Here is a 20,845-nt window from a genome sequence, read left to right as displayed (position 1 = left end):
AGAAAAAGAATACCCCAGGGACAGGGTCTAAAAAATCAATACATAATGAAGCCTGAGCCATGGTGCTAACTCTGCCCCTGACTGTACATCTGACTTGCAGACACTTTATAAGTTGGCTCTCTCCTCCTCCCCACACCCCGTCCTTCCCATCCTCCCTTTCTCATTTTGCCTGGTGGAGGCCTGACCTGTCATGATGCTGCTGGAGTCCGGGTCTCCTCCATCTGTAACTGGGCTCTCACGGTGATGGTGGGGAGGCCAGGACCCTGCTTAGGGGCCACTGCCCGGGCAGGAGGAAACTCCCTCAGCCTCTGTCCTGAGCTGGGTCACCTGTGGAAGGGTGCCCAGGGCCCAAAGGTGAAGGAGGGCTGGCGCGGCTTCTTTGCCCAGGGCTGACCACTCCCAGCATCTCAGGCCAGCAGCCACCCAGCACCATCTGCCTCATTTCCTGTGCTTCCTCCTAGTGAGTGGCAGCTTGGACTCTTGGCTGCAGGCAGTTCTCCTGAACCGGTCACCAGGGCTCAGGATGAGCTATCCAGATGCATCTGTGACAATGTGGCTTTCATCTTCATCACAGTTGACCCCGTGGGAGGAAAGCCCCCTTTCTCCCACTTCAGCCCACATCTCTCTTCCCAGAACAGCAAACTGCCACCCAGGAGGGACTGCCGCTTCCCTGGTCGTGGGAAACTCTGCAGAACCTCCTCTCCTGAGCACTCCTGAGCGAAGAGCCAAGCCAGGGTAAGCCTGTGCATATAAGGCCTCAATTTTAGATTAGATTCCCAAATTTAATTTCCTATTCCTTAATTTAATTCTGCATTTTAGTTTTGTTTTTATTATTTACATGGGTTCCCTTTAATGATTCCAAATTGCTGCTGCCCTCTAGCAGAATTTTGTCTTATGTTAACTTCTTGAAAACTGATCAGCATTGGAGTTTATTCCACGCTGGGTTTAGTTATTTTCTGAAACGAAGCACAATTAAATTAGAATAATGAACATGCTCTTTAGAGGATTAATTCATAATTAGCAGGCCATGTGCTACAGCTCACAGAAGAAAGGGCACAAGGATCGAAAGCTGTTTTTTTCTGCCTAAATATGAAAAGTACATTCTGCAGAGCAGAACAAATCAGCTAATGACATCCAGAGCGCTGGCCAGCCCCAGAGCAGCATGGAGCTGGCACCTTGAGTTAGCGCAATCCCCACCGATGCTGCTGCCTACCTTTCCTCCCCGAGAAGGCTGGCAGCGGGCAATTTGCCTGGCTCTTCTCTCCTCAGCACAGCTGATAGAAGCCACTGTGGACCTCCTAAATTCTACCCCCAGGAAGCCCCAAACTCCACAGCCTGTGGCTTCACAAGCTTCATCCTCAGAGCTTCCTACAGCCCATTCACTCATTCATTCTTTCATCCAAGGAATGTTTTACTAGCTCCTGCTATACACCAGGCATCCATGGGATGGCCCACCCTCGGGATACATCAGGGAAGAAAACATACAAAGACCCCTACCCTTTTGGAAGTTATACTTGAGCAGGCAGAGACAGACAATAAATGGTAAAAATAATAAGTAAATTATGTATTATGTTAGAAGGTGATGAGTGCTAAAGAGGAAGGGGGGTTGAGAGTGGTGTGTGTGTGTGTGTGTGTGTGTGTGTGTGCGCGCGTGCCTGTGTGCTTTGCAGTTTTAAATAGGATGGGTCATGGTAGGCTTATGGGGAAGGTTTCAATTGAGCGAAGACTTGAAGGAAGTGAGAAAGTGAGTCACTTTCAAGCAAGTCACCCAGGTCAAGCCTGTTCTAGAAGAAACAACTATAGCAAAAGCCCTAAGGTTGGAGTGTGGCTGGTGAGTTCGGGAAGGATGGGGCCAGTGGGGGCTGAATGGAGGGAGTGAGTGGGAGATGAGGGGGACCCCATCAAGTGGGGCCTTGGGTTTTTCTCCGAGAGAACTGAAAGTCAGGGCAGGGTTCTGAGCACAGGCAGGACGTGGTCTTTTACTAAAGGATCTCTGGCTGCTGGCTGAGAACAGACTTTACAGGGTCAGGTAGATGGAAGGATGGAAGGTGGGAGACCTGTCAGAAGGCTCACAGCTTAGGCCTCTGAAACTCCAGCCCCAGGTTTTCCCATACCATGTTCTCTGGGCCTGCCAAAGTGCTGAGCTCAGGCCTCAGAACCAGGCACAGAGGCTTAGAGTCTCCTGCAGTCCCCTTTCTCCCAGAAGGACCAGTATATTTATTTTTTTATTTTTTTTATTTTTTAAACAGCCAGAGCTCACACATGGTGAGGATGTCCAGACCATTATTCCTCGATTGGGCCTGGAGACCCCTCTGCAGCCCCTCCCAATCTCTCCCACTGACCTACGGACCAGAAGGCTGGATTTTGCAATGGAAGGGAACTTGCAGGCAGCAGACAGCTCTGCACTGTCCCTTTGATTTTCCTCAGGCACCTCTGAGAGGGAGACACACTCTCAGCCAAGTACCCAACAAGGGACATGAGAAGGCTTCTGCTGTGCAGCTGCCAGAGAAACAGGGGACAGATCAAAGCAGGAGAGGACCAACATCTGCGGTAACCAAAGCAAGGACAAGGTACAAACACATTGAATGAATAAATAAGCAGATGAATGACTGATGGGTGGGGGGAATGAATGATTAATGCATAAATGAATGATTGATGAATAAACAAATGTATAGCCTGGAGCTGGCTCCTGCTCCCTGCTCTTTGGGTATCTTCTCTACTGGGAACCGAAGATTAAAGATGCTCCCGTGACCTTCACCTCTGGAATTCCCTGCTGGAGTTGGGATTACACCTGCTTCTGAGCCCAGAGGTTGGGGAGGCTTTGGCTTAGGATCGGTGGCCCAAGGCTGCAGAGATGTGCTGGCGGAAGGAGGCTGGAAGCAACTGGGGCTGGTCTGGAAGACCCCTGGGCAGCTTGTAGGTTCTGAGTGCGGAGAACTCCAAGGATCTGAGAGGAGAGAAGGGTGTGTTGGGAAGAGGGGAAAAGGAGTGGTTTAGTTTTTCCTTCCTGGTTCTACACGGGACATTCTGCAGATGCTGGGCCTTGGGTTGGTCTCATTCTAGGGCCTGTAAAGATACAGAAGTCTGTCTCAATGGAGCATTTGACTGTATTATCCCAAAAGGCAGGAAGATTTCGGTAATCGAAATTGTCAGAAGCTTCCCCAAAAGGGGCAGGCTGGTGAAGACTTTAGCTCAGGCCCAGGCACTGGCACCACCCAGACGCTTGATGTGCCCCCACTTCCAGAAGTTTGTCTTATAGTGTGGCCAGATCCCCATGCCTCTGGGGGAGAAGTACCCTACTGGGGGAGGGTTTGAGGAAGCAATGTTTAAAGACCCTGGGTCACATGGCTTCACTTCATTTTGGAGAAGCATCTTACCTGGGAATTCCCATAGAATCTAGTTTGGGGCCAAAAGACTGCTCCTAAAGAGTGCATGTACACAGTCCACTTTATGTTCTAGACTTTGATAATCATAATCAAAATGGCTTCCATTTATTGAGTGCTTACCAAGTGTTCGATGTTGGGTTAAGAGTTTTGGCTGGGCAAAGTGGCTCATGCCTGTAATCCCAGCACTTTGGGAGGCAGAGGTGGGCAGATCACCTGAGGTCAGGAGTTCGAGACCAACCTGGCCAACATGGTGAAACCCCCGTCTCTGCTAAAAATACCAAAATTAGCCATACCTGCTGGTGGGCACCTGCAATCCCAGCTACTCAAGAGGCTAAGGTGGGAGAATCGCTTGAACTTGGGAGGCAGAGGTTGCAGCGAGCCAAGATCATGCCACTGCACTCCAGCCTGGTGACAGAGCAAGACGGATAAACAGAGTTTTGCATTCTGACCGGCATGGTGGCTCACGCCTGTATTCTCAGTACTTTGGGAGGCCAAGACAGGCAGATCACCTGATGTCAGAAGTTCGAGACCAGCCTGGCCAACATAGTGAAACCCGTCTCTACTAAAAATACAAAAATTAGCCGGGCATCGTGGCAGGCACCTATAATCCTAGCTACTTGGGAAGCTGAAGCAGGAGAATCACTTGAACTCAGGAGGCAGAGGTTGCAGTGAGCCGAGATCGCGCCACTGCACTCCAGCCTCGGTGACAGAGCGAGACTCTGTCCAAAAAAAAAAAAAAAAGTTTTGTATTTGCATATCATTCAATTATCTTATGAACCCTGGGATGTCCCTCATTTTACAGATGAAACTGAGGCACAGAAAGGCTAAGTGACTTGCTTAGCCTTAGCATCAGCCAAATGGATGATGGCCATTTGGAGCTGAAAACTGAAGGGACTTTTCCTGAGGTCCTACTCTAGCAACTGTGCTGAGCTTTCGCTCCTCTAGCACAGAGATTCTTAACGCTTTGGGGGCTGCAGACCCCTTCAAGCAAGTGATAAGAGTGTCCGGCCTCTTCCTCGAAAATGTACATTTTACATTTTGCACAAGTGCATTTTCCAGGCAATTTTGGGGGGCCACACAGGCATCCTGAACTCTGTTTTAGGTATTCACTTTCTGCAGTGACTGTTTTCCTTTCTCATAACCCTGAGGGCACAAGGCAACCCTCAGGGCCCCCAAAATCACCTCAGTAGGGAATGGAATCAGACAGGACAGGTTAATCAATGAAAGCTCACCTCATGCTCCTTCCATAATTGCATTCCTGCCTTTTCATCCTAACAGACAGCACTTAGGTTAATTACATTCCAATAAGGCTCCCAGGTCTGGGGCCTCTGGAGCCTGCCCTGGAACCTGTTGACATGCCATCTGCTTCCAGAGGGATTCTGGAGACCAAGGCAGCCTTTTAAAATTCTTCTCAGTTTTCTTTGCTATAAGAGAGACAAAGGACCCTGTAACAGATCTCATCCAAAATCCTACTTTCTTAACGCACCCACATCAGCCCTGAAGCTATGGAGGATTCTTTGGTCCCAGGCTGTCTTTCTGAAGTCAAAACAGTAGCACCTGTTATTCCAAGTCCACGACCTTTGGAAATACCTGGCTTGGAGCGAGGTGGCCACAAATTGACAGTGCCGGCTGGGCAGAACCAGCTCAGGGCTGGAGAATTGAAAGGCTTAGGAGCTCCCTCAGGGGCTGGGTATTGTGCTGCCAGCTTCAGTCATTTATTCATAAGATTTATTGGAACCTCCCAAAAGGGTATCTACTCTTTGCAAAGAAAACCCATAATGCAAGGAAATATAAGATATACATTATAATATATATTAGGATTATATTATATTATATATTCCTAATATATGGGAATAATATATATTCCCATATATTATTATGTATAATATATTCAAAATATATATTCCATATAATTGATATATTACACAGATATATATGTAATATTCCAGAAATATAACTTCCTCTAATGCAGGTCCATGCATTCTCCAGGCACAGTGAAGTTCACACAATTAACAGAAAAAGTGCAGGGTTCATGGTGATTTGAGTTTCACTGTTTCCCAAATAGAGATGGCTCCACTGCTTGCCCCCACCAAAGGAATGAGGTATAAAATGGAGAGGTCTGGTGTTTGTTATATGACCTACAGATGCCCCCTCCCCCACCACGGCCCTGGACACTTCTTTCCTGCAAAGAAAAGTTTCCTCTGGGACTCTTTATTCCCCTGGGTTTGAACCCCAAGAAGCCTTCCACAAGCCCAGCTCCCTTGGCCTGCATCCACAGGGCTGAGGGCCTGATTTTCTCATCCCTGCTGAGACCCCTGCTCAGAGGAAATGGCTTGTTTTGAGATGGAAACTTTCTTGCTGCATGAGGGAGAAGAGATGGAGTTTGGCCTACGATGCCATGAGTATTCTTGGGTGGTTAATCCCTGCTCCAACATTGTAATCCTTGTGGGTGATCTGTGGTTTAGCAGAAAGAGCATCGATTTTCAGGAAGGCAGGCCAGTGTTTGAATCCTCGCTCTGCCAGTCATGAGTTGTGTGCCACTGGGAAAGTCACTTCACCTCCTTGCATCACAGTTTTTTTCTCCTGTGTGTGGAGTGGGGAGGGAGGGAGACTTACTTTACAAGGTTCAAATTGAAGAGAGAAGCATGCCATGGTGCCTGGCATTCTATACGTGATTTTCTTTCTTTCTTTTCCTGAATGAAGGCACAAACTTCTAAAACACTTTGCAGACGTCAGAAGGTACTATTAGGTTTTTCTTATCAGTGCACTTCAGCCTCGTCACCCTCCCACCCCATTCCAGTCTTCCTTCTCTTAACCTCTCCCCCTGCCTACAGCAGGTAGTCTGAACTCCAAATCATAGCTCCAGGCTTTTGCCTGCAAATCTCACTAACAGGTTTAGCATCCCTCCTAGGCTTCATAGCAGCCGCCAGTGCAGCCTCAGAAATGGAGATGCCCACAGACAGGTCAATTTCTCCATCCCTGTCTCTTCTGGTTTAACAGCAGGGTCCTAACATCCAAGCCTGTTAGGGCTTCTTCACACTTACTATGGAGAGGGAGACTGCAGACTTTTCATGGCATGGGGTGGGTTATAAATGGGCATCAGCTTCCTGCGGCTGAGCAGGAACCAGTGGGTGGGAGTGTGATGCTGACTCCCCTGACTTCATTTGACCATGGCCATTGTGGGAATCACCACCATCATGCTCACCCTTGCTGCTAGCATCTAGCACCCAAGTCAGAGCTGTCTGAGCCTCAGGGAGCTAACCCCTAAGACACAGCAACCAAACCCTAAAGAGGACCCCAGACCCACCTTTTTTTGGGTAGATTTTGCACACTTACAGGTGGGGTGTTTTAAATGGAATCTTGAAGGTGAGAGTGGGGCTGAGGCAGGGGGTTGGGGTGGTAAGGGGATAAGAGGAGGAGAGAAGGGGTCAAATAGGCCAGAGGAGATTAGGGATTTAATTAAACTGCCTGTTTGAGTAAGGGCTTTTAGGTGCAAAGCTGCTTTGCATGATAATGGCAGTTTATGTGAATTCCATTCTACTGAAGGAAGCTTCTTTTACACTTAATTACTGTGGCTCTTAAGCCTGGCTTTTCCTTAATGCCCCTCCCCAGGGCAAGGAGGGAAGCTTACCTCTTAGCTTCAGTCATGCTGGCCACTGTCACGGACAGACCCCTCGTCATCTATGCCTATAAGAGGCCTGTCCGTGAAGCAGGCAATATCTAAGTGACTGGATGGCCTTTAGGATCACCCAGCAAAATCAGGTCTGGCTTAAGGGGGTGACCCCTGAAGTCCTTTGATAGGGTTCCCCAGCCAGCAGGGGCAGCTGAGAATGGCTCTGGACTTAGGCTACTGAGACTTTTCCTGGGGTCTCCACTCCCAGAAACCCCAAACACCAAACAGGACCAACATTCCCCTGGTAGGTTCCTGCTGCTTGCTGAACAGCAGCTCTGGACAAGCACGGATGTGGTCGTTTAAGTGAGCTTGGTAGGGTCTGGACCAGAGGGACTGGCTGACTGCTCTGGGCAGCTTGCATCTTTGGTGGTGGAAGTGACTGCTTTTCAGGCAGAAGGACAGCGTTCAGTGTGCATCAGGACAAAAGGAGGAGTAGATGGAAAGCCTGGTAGGGGGAGCAGAGAGCCCTGATACAGAGAGGGGAAAGCCACGGGAGATGGAGACTCCAGCACACGAGCAGGGTAGGAAAGAGTTAAAGGGTTTGGGAACTCCTGTTTCCAATCACTTGTCAGCCAGCTTTGCTCTCAGCCTTATCAGCAGGGATAGGGCCGCGCTGGGAGAGGCTCTGAGCGCTCTCGTTTCCAAGCTCTTCCCAGACTCCCAAGCTCTCAGTGTTCTCATTACCTTCTAAGGGCTCCTGGCTCAGTCTGGGGTGAGGGCCACGGGGAGGGGGCTGGAAACCCAAACACATTTAATGGAGTAGAGTGTGAGTTACTAAATACAGCCCGGGGTTGGTGGTGAGGCTGTCGAATCTCAGTAGTAAACCCTCAGAATCCAACTGTCCCTCGTCCTCTCCCCTAGTGCAGGTTGTGTCTTTGCTTTCATTCAACTAGAGCTAAAACTCTTTAATGTTCTTCCCTTTTACAGTTACCCTGAGTCAGAAACCTTCATTGTGTATTTGTGCAGTTACTTTTGGAACTCAAGTAAAGGAGTTTACATGTCAGGTAAAGATGTCTTGGTAAGACTTGACCCATGTTAGCCTTTTGGGAGACATAGTTTTAGTTCTGCCATCTCATGCGGTTGCTACCTACCCCTTTCAACCATTAGGTAATTTAGTAAACCTGCTTTCTATATCTTCATTCAAGTTATGGGTTTAAACGATGTTGCCTGGGAGAGGGCTGAGGGCAGAACTATTGGTCATGCCAATATAGATTGTCCTCTAGACCTTGACATCAACCCATGTTTAATATTTTTGGGGTGTGGATACTGTTATTAAACCAACTACTAATTCCTTATATTGTGCGTCTCTAATTTATAATCCACCAAGGATCCAGAAGGCTGCTATGAGAAAAGGTATTAGTTGGTGCAAAAGTAATTGTTTATTTTCAATGAAAATAATGGCAAAAACCGCAATTACTTTTACACTAACCTAATAAAAGTTAAAAGCACCTTTCTATAATCCAATACACTTGGTCCCATGAATCTCCCTAATTTGCCATTCTTGTGACCCTGCTAAAGAAGAAAGTAAAGTTTACATGGTATTTTGCAGTAGATAAGAGATGTGAATTCAAGTATAAGCATCATAACCGCATTTTTGTAAGGAGCAAGAGTTGCCTGCCAAGAAGAACAGTGGTATGCATGATGGGGATGCCAGAAAGCTGGGTCTTTAAAAGAGAACTGACCGGCCAGGCGCAGTGGCTCATCCCTGTAATCCCAGCACTTTGGGAGGCCAAGGCGGGCGGATCACAAGGTCAAGAGATCGAGACCATCCTGGCCAACATGGTGAAACCCCATCTCTACTAAAAATAAAAAAATTAGCTGGGTGTGGTGGCACGTGCCTGTAGTTCCAGCTACTTGGGAGGCTGAGACAAGAGAATCGCTTGAACCCAGGAGGCAGAGGTTGCAGTGAGCCGAGATCACACCACTGTCCTCCAGCCTGGTGACAGAGTGAGACTCCGTCTCAAAAAAAAAAAAAAAAAAAAAAAAAAGAAAAGAAAAAAAAGAAAAAAAAGAAAAAAAGAACTGACCTAGGAAAGAAATGGGGAACGAATGGGGATTTAAGTTAATCAAGAGAAGAGATTGGGACAGTAGTTTGTAGGAAAGGTGCTAACTATTTGGCGGGCACAGGGTTCTGTCCTGTGACTGCAAGAATAAACCTTGGGCAAGAACCAAGAGTATCCCCTTATGTACAAGCCACAAGGCCTCAGTTCTTCCAGGTCTGGAAACTCCAGAGGTTCTGAACACAGGCTGTTTGGTGCCTCCGTGCCCCTGCTCATGTTGCTCCTCCATCTGGAATCCTTTTCCTTGCTGCCCACCTGGTGAACATCTGCTCATCCTTCCTTTTCATTGCAAGTCTGATATCCTCTAACAAGTCTTCCCTGTCTCCTCCTCCCCTCCAGTTCCAGACTTCCCAGGTAGAGCTCACTACTCCCACTGTGACCTTTTTTTCCCTGTACAGACTTCTGCATTTGCACCAAAATCATTTTATTACATAGAGGTTAAGGTCACAGAGCTTGAAGTTCAGAAGACTTAGCTATTTAGCTGTGACTTTGCCTCTTACTATAACCTTTCTAAATCTCAGTGTCCTCATTTGTAAAGTTGGGATAATAATAAATACCCACTAGGACTGGCATGAAGAGTCAATAGAAAATGAATGCAAAGCACTGTATTAGTTATCTATTGCTGCATGGCAAATTACCCTCAAATCTAGTGGCTTAAACCAACAATAAACACTGTTTCCTGTCTGTGGGTCAGGAATTTGGGAGCCGCTTAGCTGGGTGGTTCTGCCTTGAGGTTTCTCATGAGGATGCAGTTGCAATGTTAGATGGGACTACAGTCATCTGAAGGCTTGTCTGTGGCTGGAGGCACTGTTTCCAAGATGACTCAATGATATGGCTATGGGCAGAAGGTTTCAATTCCTCGCTGGCTATTGGTGGGCAGCCTCAGTTCCTCTCCATGTGGACCTTCCCACAGGATAGGGCTTCCTAAGTGTCTTTACCACATAGCATCTGGAGTCCCCTAGAGTGAATGATCCAAGAGAGACCTAGGTGGAAGCTGCATTATCATTTATGTCCTGGCCTCAGAGGTCATGTACTGTTATTTCCATAGATCCTATTATTTATACCAGCCCTAGTCAATGTGGAAGGGTGCTACACAAGCATGTGAATTTCAGGAGAAGATCATTATGGCCTATTTTAGAGGCTGTCTACTACAACTACTTAGCTCGATGTTTATCAAAAGCATATCATATGCAGGGTGCAGTGGTGTGTGCCTGTAGTCCCAGCTACCCAAGAGGCTGACGCAGGAGTGTTGCTTGAGCCAAGCAGTTTGAGGCTATAGTGAGCTATGATCATGGTCATTGCTCTCCAGCTTGGGTAACATAGTGAGATGTTGTCACTAAAAGAAAAAGCATTTCATAAGGGCTTAATAAACAGTAGCTGCTATTATTAATCCATACATTTGTATTCCCTGCTAGAAAATAAACCCTTTGAGGGCATAGATCATGTCTTGGGCCTGTTTGTACCTCAAGTCCCTAGAGTAGTGTCAAGCATACTGGTAGTTTTATACTAAATGCTGATGGAGAATACATGAATGAAGGCTTAGAGAGGGCTAGTCTGGTGGCAGGCTCAGAGTGAATGGGGAGAGAATTCACACCCAGATGTTAAATAGGATTCTGTAATTCAGGTGCATATCTGGAATTACCAAAGTGTGTAGAATCAGGATCTGAGAGTTCCTCATATTTTCATGCTTGAGTACCAAGGGTGTTTGATACCAAAACAGTAGGCAGGGCGAGGGTAGCTCTTATGACTCTCTTTGGAAAACAAGCCGTGAGCAGAAATTTGGCAGGGAGCAATGGTCCCATGATCTAAAGGGTGACCCCACGGATGTTTAATTCTCTGGGCCAAGGCAGACTTGGGAAGCTCTTGATATTTTTGTCATACTCAAACTCTTATCTTGATGTCACCTCTGTCCTTCTACCGGGCAGAACAATTTCCCTTTCTAAGAGACTCTGAGGTACATTTCTTAGAGTTAATTAAGAAGTGAACAGAGAGTTTCATGTCAGAGGCCCGCCCGGCTACTGCCGCCCTTTATGCAGGAGAGGGTCTGAGTCTGTGAGGTAACTGATACTCTAGTTGAGATTGAGTTTCCAGACGTCTAGCTCACATTGGAAGCCTTGCCCTGCTCCTGGGCTCAAAAGTTCACTGATTGTCCTTTTTCCACCGACAGAGCCCTCTGTCCTTACCAATGCTGTGCTTTTTTTGCCCCAGTTTCCAACAAGAAGCCACTCCTATGAGGCTGCAGCTCCAGGAGCCTCAGAGACAAAGACCAGTGGAAGAGCAGGTGTCTTCTCAGAGATTTTCCCATGTAGATCACATTCCCACTTGCCGGAGGTTCCATTTTTTCCCAGTTCCTTGAAATCCCAAACAAGTGACTTTACTTGTCTTTTTCTCCCTTTCTTAAAGCTAAGACAATGCAGGGGAAAATCTTTTTCTATCAGGGTGGAAGGAGCTTTGCACTGAATAATATTTTGCCTGTGGATAATAAAAAAGACATGCACATTGTAGATGGGACAGAACCATAGGAGACATATGATATTTGAATTGCCTCTAAACCAAACAAGAAGCAGGCATGGTGGTCTGCACCTGCAATCCCAACTGCTTGAATGGCTGAGGTGGGAGGATCGCTTGACCTCAGGATTCAAGGCTGCAGTGAGCTATGATTGCGCCACTGTACTCCAGTCTGGGTGACAGAGTGAGACCCCATCTTGAAAAAACGAAAGGAGAAATAAACCAAACCAGGTCACCACAAGGAAATGTGAAAGGAAATTTAAAATGCTTATTGATTGAAATAAAAAGAATACGACAACTGAGTCTGAAGGAAACAGTGATATGTCAGGGATCGTAGTAATTCAAGGCAACTGGACTCTGGAATGACCCTCATCTTGAAAGAGCTTTTTAAATTGTGTTTATTTCACTTTCCATTAGGATTTAACCAGAAAGAGAACATTTTTAATAAAGGCAGCATTGGGAAATGTGGCCAGTGGGAGAGTTGGGGGCTTGCGTGTATGAAGAATTCTTTGGGGCATAGGACTAAGGCAATAGAGCTGGACCAATACAACTGTCTTGTTTTTCAAATTCCACCTCTATTAGCTATGGAAAGAATTGTGTCATTCTTGGTAGAAAACCTAGCCAAAGTGTTCCCCTGGAGATGAAAACACAGAATAAGAATTTTAAGAAACCATTTTTTGGGGGAGTCAAAAGAATGTTAATGAGACAATTGATTAAGTTATACAAAGAAGTTAAAAATAAAATAAATACTATGTCCAGTTGAAATATTTCACATGCTCCCCTAAAAACCCAGCCCAAAACATAACATTGAGCTTTCAGAGGGGAAGCAGGGAGTGGGACACAGAAAGAAACCAATAAGGGAACAGCATGGAAACCACACTGAGGAAATAGAACTTTTAACCAATGATTATTAGAAAAACAACAGCAATCATTGATTAAACAAATTATGGTTCTAGGAAAAGGGGCACAAAACAGTCAGCCTTGGGAAGACTGCCATGTTGGGTAAGCTCTGAGTTTTAGGCATGACAGCTCTCATTTCCTGTGCAATTAAGAACATTGTTCTTTGGGTCATCTCAGTCAGTTGACAATCACTTTTTGAGCGCACACTGTATGCCAAGCTCTGTGTTAGATGTTGCGGCTATAACACCTACGTATCTTTATAGAGACGTAAAGCATGCTCCCTGCCTTACACAAATGCCCGTGGTATGGTGAATGTGATAAGGCATAATAATAGCTAAAATTTACTGAGCACTCCCTATGTTTTAAACACTTTACAAGCACTATAATCCACTATGAGAACAGAACTATATGGTTTTGGTCACATTTGTATCTCCATTGCTTGGCACATAGGTATTCAATAAATATATTTTTAAAATCCTTACAGCAACTCTATGAGTAGGTATCATTATTACTCCCATTTTACAGATGAGAAGACTGAGGTGCAAAGAGATTAAGCACTTGTTTGGTGTCATAGTTAGGAAGCCATGGGACAAGGATTTGAACCCAGGAAACACTGCAAAACACTACACAATGCTGCCCCTTGATAAGTACATGAGTAATCAAAATGCAAGACAGAAGGTAGAAAGCACTCCAAGGGAGACTCAAACAAACTGCCTTAGAAGTTCTAGACTCTGGCAAGGAAAGGGGACAGTGAGAAGGGGAGGATCCTTGGAAGAGATGGCATTTGAGTTGGGTCTTAAAATGTGGGTGAGATTTTCTCAAGGGGGTACAAGGGGAAGCATCTTTAAGATGAAGGAAAGTCAGGAACCAGCACTCAGAACTGGATAAGTGAAAGGTATATTTGAAGACTTTTATACTTCCAGTTTGCTGGGGAAGCAGCCCTCCTCCATGGCAGCAGCAGGAGATTATCTGGAGTGGGCCGGAAGTGGTAAGGAGCAGGGCTTCTTGTGCTGTCACCGCACAAGGGTTGCCTGGTGATTCAGCAGGTCCATGGCGTGGACCCTGGTGATGCCAAGGCAGCTGGTCTTGGACCACACTTGGAGCAGCTGGGTTCTAGAGGGCTTTGCTTTTCTGGCTCAAGGGTGTAGACTTTATTTGGTAAGCAAAGGGCTGCACAGATGGATTTTAAAGCAGGAAAATAAGGCTTTAGAAAGATGGCTTGGTGGTAGTGGTATAAGATGCCCTGGAGAAAGTTGGGCTTTGGTTTCTTTTTTTTTTTTTTTGAGACGGAGTCTCGCTCTGTTGCCCAGGCTGGAGTGCAGTGGCGTGATCTCGGCTCACTACAAGCTCTGCCTACCAGGTTCACGCCATTCTCTTGCCTCAGCCTCCCGAGTAGCTGGGACTACAGGCTCCTGCCACTGTCACTGGCTAATCTTTTGTATTTTTAGTAGAGACGGGGTTTCACCATGGTCTCGATCTCCTGACCTCGTGATCTGCCCGCCTCGACCTCCCAAAGTGCTGGGATTACAGGCGTGAGCCACCGCGCCCGGCCGGTTTCTTTAGCTCCTAACTTACAACTCTCAAAGCTCAGAATACTGATTCAGTCAGGGTCCACACAGGAAAACAGAAACCAAAGAGATGATTAACAGAGATCATTTAGCCCTTGAATTTGGATTGTCATTTATTCACCAGAGCTGCCTAGAAACTGTTCTTTCTCTCTCCTCCAAGACCAGCCAGAAGCAAAATTTGTCCTTAGTCTCTAGTGGTTAGAAAAAGAGAGGACATATTGCCTTGACTTTGGGCTATCCTGATGGGTCTGTTCAGGTTCAAACTGGCCCATCACCCAGCTCACTCTGGATCACTTTTTCACGATTGGCAGATCTGCTTGGGGAATGAAAAATGCTGCTAATATCAGCCTGAAAAAAATATCATCAGGAAATTAAATCTGTGGCTTAAAAATCCCACACTGCTTTCTGGCTCTGGTCTGTCTCCCAACTGGGATCTCTCCCTTGGCCCGGAGGCCTCCTTCCGGCCTCCTCCCCCTCCTCTGGTTCTCCCACCCGCTGTCTTCCCTCCCACGGCCTCCCCTCCTCCTCCTCTTCTCTTTCTTATCCTATAGGACCTCCGGCCTGCCTTTTTTCTTCTCTCTGGGCTCCTTCCTGGTGGCTTCAAGCTTCCCTTCCTGTCTCCAGGCTTCTAGCTTTTCCCCAGCTCCACGGAAGCATCTGTCTGTCTCTCTTTTACTTCCCATCAGGGAGTCCTAAATGCTGAATAGGCCCTTCAGACCAGGCCCTGAAGGGGACTTAGCTGGGGCAGTGGGGGGTGGGGGGTGCTGGGGACCTGCTGAGGCCATACAGAAGCCCATTGATAGGCAGCCCTTCCACACAGACAACCCAGTCCAGTCTCCATGGCTCCAGCGGAGAGAGGCGTCCCTTGAGGTGGTGGCCAACATCCCGGCCACCGTGAATGACCTCAGTGTCTTCGGTGGGCAGGGGGACCTTCATTCTGTAGCCTCCAAATCCTTCAGGCCAATCAGTTCCACCATGGGTGTTAATATATTCATCTTGAAAATAATTTGTCAGTACATCTCCATCAGTGGTGCTGATTTCATTAATTGGAAGAATTAGCTCTTTGTGGCCAATAGAAGTATATGGAGCCAAAACACACGGAATACTTTTCCCCAGTGACCCAGAGACCCTTGGACGAACTCCTGGGTGCCATGAAAATGGATCGTTTTGCAGAAAGAATACCATTGGATGTTTATTTAACATCACTCTCCATCCCCCCAAAAAGACCTTCAAAATGCTCTCACATCTGGCTGCTTTTCTTCTCTCACTTTTTTGTGCACAGCCAGGGCAGGGAGGAAACTTCATCAGTCTGAAAACATCCAGCAGCAAAGTGTAAATTAAATGTGCAGAGAGGCCAGGGGAAGGGGAGTCTTACATTCTGGGGGTGGAGTAAGACTGTGTCCTCACCCCCACTCCATACGGGCAGAGCTGGTTTTTTACCCTGTGTCTCCCATTAGGAGCTGTGTGACCTTGGGCCAGACACTTAACCCTTCTGAGCCTCAGTTTCCTTCTGGTAAAATAGGGAAATAAGCACATACAGGGCTGTTGGAGGGCAAAAGGGAATAATGTATGTAGACTGTATGGCACGTAGACACTTGATTGATGGTAGCTACTATTGTGGTTGCTGGGATCAAAACCAGAAGAGAATCCCAACTCTTCCCATGCCTCAGAGACTCACCATTGCTGGCCCCATTCAGGGAGACAGATGGGCAAAAGTAAGTCCTATGGGAGGAGACAGATGGACAAAAAAGAGTGATCAAGGGGATCGGATGGAATGACAGGTCAATGGGGTAACAGGCAGATGGAACATCCCATGGGGAAGGCGGATTTATGACAACCCAAAAGAGACCTTGAAAGATGGTGTCCCATAGGAAGGACAGATGGATGAGGGTCCAACAGGGGAGACAGAGAGATGACAGACCAAACAGGAAGGCAGATGGATGGCAGTTTTATATGGGGGGTGGGCAACCCTGTGATTGGGGGAGAACAGATGGACAACATGCTGACGACGAAGCCCGGGCTTCCTGTTTAGTCTCTATTCCTCAGGCCTGGACATCCCTGAATTCATAAGAACTTTGGGGCTCTGTGAGGATGAGAGAGAGAGAGAGAGAGAGAGAGAGAGAGAGAGAGAGAGAGAACTTCACACGGCTTGAGAAGATGTGAAACATCAGGGTCAGTCTGGCCTCTGTTCCTCCCTCCTCCCACAGCCCCTCCCTGGGTGGCCCCACAGATAAAGGCTTAGCCATGATGATGATGAGGAAGAGGAGGAGGGACAAAACTGCTTTTGGAAAGAAAGGGAAAATAAAAACTAGCTAAAGTTTTATTTATTTAAAATAAAGGCTCAGTTATGCTTGACTGTAAACACGCAGGCCCATCCCTCCCTCCCTGGCTCTTCTTGTGGCAGAGGGCTTGGACCACACAGTGAGCTGGGGGCAGGAGGCAGAGAGAAGGCCAGTGTAGGCTGGGGGAAGGGGTGGGACTAGGGTGCCCCAGGTGTGGGGAGGGGAGAGAGGCTGTGGAATTCAGTGACCTGCTGAGCACAGCTGGGTTGGGCTGGCTAGACCCTCTGGCCCTGGCTCCTGGTCCTTCAGCACACACCATCAATAGTCCATACGGCTTCAGCCCCACTTGCAGCACAACAAGGGGAGGCCACAATATGGGGATGCCAGGGACATGCACACACACACACACACGCACAGGTGTGCAGGCCTTTCTCTCAACTCTGTCTCCATCTCTTTGTCAGAGATAGCACAGTGGAGTCCTCGGGGAGGTGGGCCCAACTCCAGCTGTGAGTCATACCTTCTATTTGAACTAGAAATCCTACCTGCCTTTTGTCCTCTTTCTTGCAGGTTCCACCTGAATTCCTTCCATGCTTTTCAGCGACTGAACCATTTGGGTGGCCTGGAAGAGCCTGTGAGCTCCCTGGAGAAAGGAGACAGTGTGGATGGAGAAGAATCTGGAGTAGAGAGGAGTCTGGGGACCCTGCCTTTCAAGTCGTTTGTGTGAGGGCTGCGTTGGTGGCCCAACTAGCCAGGGAAGGGCTATGGTATGCGGGGTCAGGCGGGAATAGGCAGGAAATGTTTGTGATAAGAGGCTTCGCCTCTTGCAAGCTCCTCTGGTTTCCAGACCCAGCTGCAGGATAAGGGCCCAGGAGCTGAGCAGGGAGCCTCAGAGGAGGCTGCTGCAAGAGCCAGCTCTTGGGATTTCAGCAGGCAGAGTTGCAATCAGAGGCCCCTGGGGTCCCTGAAGACCATGCCTGGGGATAGAAACGACCCTGGGAACCCAGCCAGGGCTGCCTTCCTTTGGGATCAGGGATTTTCAATCATACTTCAGAGGGCCAAATCAATCCCTTAAGAAAAATAAAACAAAACAAACCCCAGCTTTGTTAATCCAAGTTGCTGAGAGGGTGGGAAGTACAGACTTGACCCCCCAGGGGATTTCATGCGCTGGATTGGTCCCAGTTGGAGCCATTCATTAATGTTAACCAGTAGAAATGGAAAATGGAAGGGTGCACTGACAAAAGACCAGGCTGGAAGCTCTGAGAAGGAATCTATCCCAAAGGGATCATCTGCTGGGGATAAATAGAGTCATCGAACAGTGTGTCATGCAGGCATTTGCAAAGCTTGGTGCTCCTTAGATTTCCAGTGTCGCCTCTTTGCCCAAGGCCCAGTGACTCCACCATCTGTGGTTGACTTGGCCAGCTCACAAAGGAGCAAGATGTGCTTCACAGGAACACCCCATGAGCGGGGATGAGGCTACAGGCCACTTGCTATTGTACCAGCTCCCCTTCTTAAGGATTAGCAGCTTCTATCTATCCCTGGAGGCTGCACTGTAAATGCCTGTGTAATGCTAATTTGTGGTTGGCAGGAGATTGATTGGGAAGGAGCAGGACAATGGCAAGAGGAGGCTGAGCTCCCTCCTCCTCCTGGTGTAATGGTGTGCTTGCATGCTGTGTGTGTGTGTGTGTGTGTGTGTGTGTGTGTACGTGTGTGTACGTGTGTGTCTTCTGGGAGAAATGTAGCAACAAGCCCACAGAAGAGATGATTATTCAAAGAGAGGAAGAAGATTTACTCACCGATGCCCAGAATCTGAAAGGCATGTCTGGAGTGGAGAGATGGGAGTCTATGAAGCACAAATCCAGGGAGATTTTTTGATGGGAATAAGTGACAACCCATCACTCTTAACATATTCTATTCATTAGAACCAAGTCCCTAAGTCCAGCCCACGCTTAGAGGAAGGGATTACATGGGAGGCAAGAATCACTGAGAGCCATTTCGGAAACTGCCTACACTTAGAAAAACACTTCAAGAGCTCCCGGCCAAGGGCCTGGCACATAGCAAGTGCTCAAGGAATTGTTACTTGGACCAGTGACTCTTCTAGGATGTGATCTAGGTTTTCCCATAGTGGCCTGGGTCTCTGCTGTCCCATCTTTATTCCTGTTGGCACTGCTGGGTTTTCAGCAAAGGCTTTTTCCTCTGACACTGGGAGGTTTGTGACTAGGCTCTCTGGGTGTGGGCCAGCAGACAGGATAGACGCTAACTTACACTCTTGCTGTCTTCCGAACAGCCTCTTCATGACCATGTGTGGTCTTACTTTGTGGTCAGTGTACAGATATTTTAATTTCCTGCTCACCTGCTCAGAGGAGGATCTGATTTCTTCTTGCATTTATTTTTCTCTCCGGCAGCCTGTGGACAGGTATTTCTGTCTGACCATCTGGTAGCCATTCACCTTTATGGTGGCTTGAGAAAGGAATCAATTTCACTTGTTTCTTTAGTAATATCTGCCTCTTTTGACAGCAAGTTACCTTTATCACCTCTTAAAATTCTTACTATGTTGCACCTTCTGTTACCTTGGGGGCTCTTTCAATCCCCTAACTTTGTGCAACTGCATCTCCCTCTTTGGTTTAGCTTCTCAGGCCTTTCTTTTTGCACCACGGTTTAATACATTCCATATATACTTCTAAGTCTGCTGGTACCTCTCCCCACCCACTGCCTGCTGAGAGTGACGGATTCTTCCTGGCTGGACCAAGTCTAAAGTAATCAGAAAACAACTGAAAGAGGAAAGCTGACCCCTGCCCTCATCCTGCCCCTCTGCAGACTTCTTGAGGCCTTTTGTCTAATTGTGGTGGGTAATGTGGGCAGGGTAAAAAATGGGGAAGATAGAGCAAATTTTCTGGGCAAGAATGAGGGGAGAGGTGAGTGGAGCGTCTTCATCTCGCTCTGGTTTTGTATCATGGGTGTCTCCAGGGCCTACTGTCTCCTCTGAGACTCCTAGAAAGTGAGGAGCCATGGATTGGTATCCTACTAACAGATGGAACATCAGAGGCCCGTGGTAAGGAGTATAATAAGCTCAGCTCGCCATGCTCTGTTTTGTTTTTGTTGGAAGAAGTGTTGAAAAAAGGAGTGGTTATACACTGGCCTATCTAGCTATAGAATACAAACACTTAGGGTGAGCAGCAGGGAATGCCTTTTCTGAAAATGATGCTGCATGGAATGGATGATTAATTCCCTGGTTAAAATGAAGCCAGACTATCTTTCAGAGTCTTAAGCCTCCTCCCAATACCCTCCACATACTAGTTTCTAATTGGTTAATGAATATGGTCACTATTTCTAGGGCCTGTTGCTCCAGTGTAGTGGTCAAGAGTGTACACTCCTATTTACAATAGCAAAGACATGGAACCAACCCAAATGCCCATCAATGATAGACTGGATGAAGAAAATATTGTACATATATACCATGGAATACTATGCAGCCCTAAGAAGGAATGAGATCGTGTCCTTTGCAGGGACATGGATGAAGCTGGAAGCCATCATCCTCAGCAAACTAACACAGGAACAGAAAACCAAATACCACACGTTCTCACTCATAAGTGGGAGCTGAACAGTGAGAACACATGGACACAGGGAGGGGAACATCACACACCAAGGCCTGTCTGGTGTGGGGAGGGGAGGGAGAGCATCAGGACAAATAGCTAATGCATGTGGGGCTTAAACCTAGATGACGGGTTGATAGGTGCAGCAATCCACTATGGCACACATATACCTATGTAACAAACCATACCTTCTGCACATGTATCCCAGAACTTAAAGTAAAATAAAAATTAAAAAAAATTACACTGGAAAAAAAAAAAGAGTGTGTACTCTGGTGAGATAGGGTTTGGTTTAGGTCCCAGCTCCTTTACTTACTAGCTATTCTTAGCTATGCTCTCAAAATTGTCACTTTTCTCATCTGTAAAATGGGTATATGAGGGTTTCCGTTTTCATAAGATTATTATAAGAGTTATACAAAGTAATAAATAAGAGATAATAAATAAATAAATGCATAGAGCGTCTAGTGTGTAGTAAACCCTCAAAGTCTCTTATGTCTTCTTATCTCTGCCCCCTAAAACTTTCCAGCAGCCAAAGTTTCAAATTTTGGAGCTTACCATCTCTGCTGCACAACTTACTTGACAGGGACTGTTTCTTTCTTCCCCCTCCCTTGAATGTTGAGCTGCCACAGTAATTGCATCAGATTACCCTCACCCCAATCTCCCTCCTAGACATTCTGTCCCTGGGACCTTGGCCCTGCTCTGTGCGCTCGTGCTCCATGCTTTTCTCTGGAGTGTGAGCCAGTCTCCAAGTCCAGTTAGCATATCTCTGTGGAGTGTCCTCTGGGGGCCGAGGGACAGTCCGGCTGGGAGGTCTTACTCCTTATCATGGATGACCTCGTTGTGAACCTTCTTGAGGCAGTGGGGAGAAATGTAAAACATTC

At 47.2% G+C, this 20,845-nt stretch overlaps 2 long non-coding RNA genes across 2 annotated transcripts, besides 5 other annotated features; one reads left to right on the top strand and one right to left on the bottom strand.

Annotated features, from left to right (window-relative positions):
* The first annotated feature begins 1,751 nt into the window (after positions 1 to 1,751).
* LINC02898 (long intergenic non-protein coding RNA 2898) lies at positions 1,752 to 20,190 on the top strand. The gene is made up of 4 exons (NR_161189.1): positions 1,752 to 1,831; positions 2,250 to 2,570; positions 7,987 to 8,063; positions 16,945 to 20,190. It is a non-coding gene; the product is annotated as a long intergenic non-protein coding RNA 2898 (long non-coding RNA).
* Positions 1,877 to 2,016: an enhancer, noted in NCBI's record as "active region_15628". NCBI's record gives its function as "activates an Ori minimal core promoter by ATAC-STARR-seq in GM12878 lymphoblastoid cells {active_cell/tissue: GM12878}" and the evidence as "EXISTENCE:reporter gene assay evidence [ECO:0000049][PMID:35858748]".
* Positions 2,509 to 18,250, bottom strand: LOC124905996 (uncharacterized). The gene is made up of 3 exons (XR_007086296.1): positions 18,171 to 18,250; positions 16,920 to 17,017; positions 2,509 to 2,947 (listed from the first exon to the last, which is right to left on the bottom strand). It is a non-coding gene; the product is annotated as an uncharacterized LOC124905996 (long non-coding RNA).
* Positions 6,550 to 7,200: an enhancer, noted in NCBI's record as "OCT4-NANOG-H3K27ac-H3K4me1 hESC enhancer chr2:42175498-42176148 (GRCh37/hg19 assembly coordinates)". NCBI's record gives its function as "activates a minimal SCP1, AML or CMV promoter by ChIP-STARR-seq in naive H9 embryonic stem cells {active_cell/tissue: H9 hESC(naive)}" and the evidence as "EXISTENCE:reporter gene assay evidence [ECO:0000049][PMID:30033119]".
* Positions 15,276 to 15,870: an enhancer, noted in NCBI's record as "H3K4me1 hESC enhancer chr2:42166828-42167422 (GRCh37/hg19 assembly coordinates)". NCBI's record gives its function as "activates a minimal SCP1, AML or CMV promoter by ChIP-STARR-seq in primed H9 embryonic stem cells {active_cell/tissue: H9 hESC(primed)}" and the evidence as "EXISTENCE:reporter gene assay evidence [ECO:0000049][PMID:30033119]".
* Positions 16,895 to 17,189: a silencer, noted in NCBI's record as "tiled region #382; HepG2 Repressive non-DNase unmatched - State 21:Repr, and K562 Repressive non-DNase unmatched - State 23:Low". NCBI's record gives its function as "represses a minimal TATA promoter and a strong SV40 promoter by Sharpr-MPRA in HepG2 and K562 cells {active_cell/tissue: HepG2 | K562}" and the evidence as "EXISTENCE:reporter gene assay evidence [ECO:0000049][PMID:27701403]".
* Positions 17,653 to 18,247: an enhancer, noted in NCBI's record as "OCT4-NANOG-H3K27ac hESC enhancer chr2:42164451-42165045 (GRCh37/hg19 assembly coordinates)". NCBI's record gives its function as "activates a minimal SCP1, AML or CMV promoter by ChIP-STARR-seq in primed H9 embryonic stem cells {active_cell/tissue: H9 hESC(primed)}" and the evidence as "EXISTENCE:reporter gene assay evidence [ECO:0000049][PMID:30033119]".
* Positions 20,191 to 20,845: the final 655 nt, after the last annotated feature.

Source organism: Homo sapiens, chromosome 2 (assembly GCF_000001405.40).
Source record: "Homo sapiens chromosome 2, GRCh38.p14 Primary Assembly".
NCBI lineage: Eukaryota > Metazoa > Chordata > Mammalia > Primates > Hominidae > Homo > Homo sapiens.
This window is presented reverse-complemented; position numbering and strand designations above follow the sequence as displayed.